Here is a 1,457-nt window from a genome sequence, read left to right as displayed (position 1 = left end):
TAAGACTTGTCTCAGATGCTCTTGGTTTACAACTTCTTCATTCTTTCTTATTTATTATTTTTTCTGACTGTATTATTTCTAAAGACTTGGCTTCAAGTTCAGAAATTCTCTCTTCTGCTCAACCTAGTCTATTGTTGAAGCTGTGATTGTATTTTTCATTTTATTCCTGAAATTATTTAGCCCAACTTTTTGAGTTTTGGGGGCTTTGTTTGTTTGTTTGTTTTTGAGATGGAGTCTCACTCTATTGCCCAGGCTGAAGTGTGGTGGTACGATCTTGGCTCACTGCAACCTCTGCCTCCTAGGTTCAAGTGATTCTCCTACCTCAGCCTCCTGAGTCACTAGGATTACAGGCATGCACCACCACACCTGGCTACTTTTTGTATTTTTAGTACAGAGGGCGTTTCTCCATGTTGGCCAGGCTGGTCTCGAACTCCAGACCTCAAGTGATCTGCCCACTTCAGCCTCCCAAAGTGCTGGGATAAAATTAACTTTTTAACTACAGTACTGGTTTGCTTGTGGGCTTGTTTATAATTTGTCCCAATGAACATTGTATATTAGAATATAATAATGTAAAATATAAAGAAAACTAAATATTTTAATTCCCAATATTCACATGTAATTGTAATATAACTTAGTTACTGTCATTCTTGTTTCCATTAAAAAGAAAGCCTTGGGCAATATTTTCAAAATAAAACAAACTATTAATAGCTGTCTCTAAAACCTTGATAAGCTTTTTAAGGACTCTGTACAAGATGCACGTTAGAAACAGATATAGAAATGTTACTTTCTTACTTCACTATTAAAAGGGTGAAATCAGCGGGTGCAGTAGCTCACTCTTGTAATCCCAGCACTTTGAAAGGCCAAGGAGGTGGGGTGGATCACCTGAAGTCAGGAGTTTGAGACCATCCTGACCAATATGATGAAACCCCATCTCTACTAAAAATACAAAAATTAGCAGGACGTGGTGGCATGTGCCTGGAATCCCAGCTACTCGGGAGGCTGAGACAGGAGAATTGCTTGAACCCGGGAGGCGGAGGTTGCAGTGAGCCGAGATTGTGCCATTGCACTCCAGCCTGGGCAACAAGAGCGAAACTCTGTCAAAAAAAAAAAAAAAAAAGTGAAATCAAGGTGCTAAAAGGCAGCACCCCCTCTAGTGGCTCTGGGAGATAGCCTGATGATCTAAAACAGATGGCAATTCAAAGAAGCTGAATAGTTGGAAACAAACCTAAAAACATATGTGAATTATTTGACAGATTGTTCTCTTTAACTGATGATCATGTTATTGTAGAGTTTAAAGTATTCTGGTTTATATATTTAAAAGATTAAAATAATCAGACTTTCTGGGTTAACCTGAATAGTCATAAATTTTTGCCATTCCCTCCAAGTGGTTTGTTGTCTTGGCTTCTATCTCATATTGCATTTATAGGTTCTCTTTGGGAATCTTTGCCCCCATCCTG

Source organism: Homo sapiens, chromosome 4, assembly GCF_000001405.40.
Source record: "Homo sapiens chromosome 4, GRCh38.p14 Primary Assembly".
Classification (NCBI taxonomy): Eukaryota; Metazoa; Chordata; class Mammalia; order Primates; family Hominidae; genus Homo; species Homo sapiens.
Note: the sequence above shows the minus strand (reverse complement) of the source record.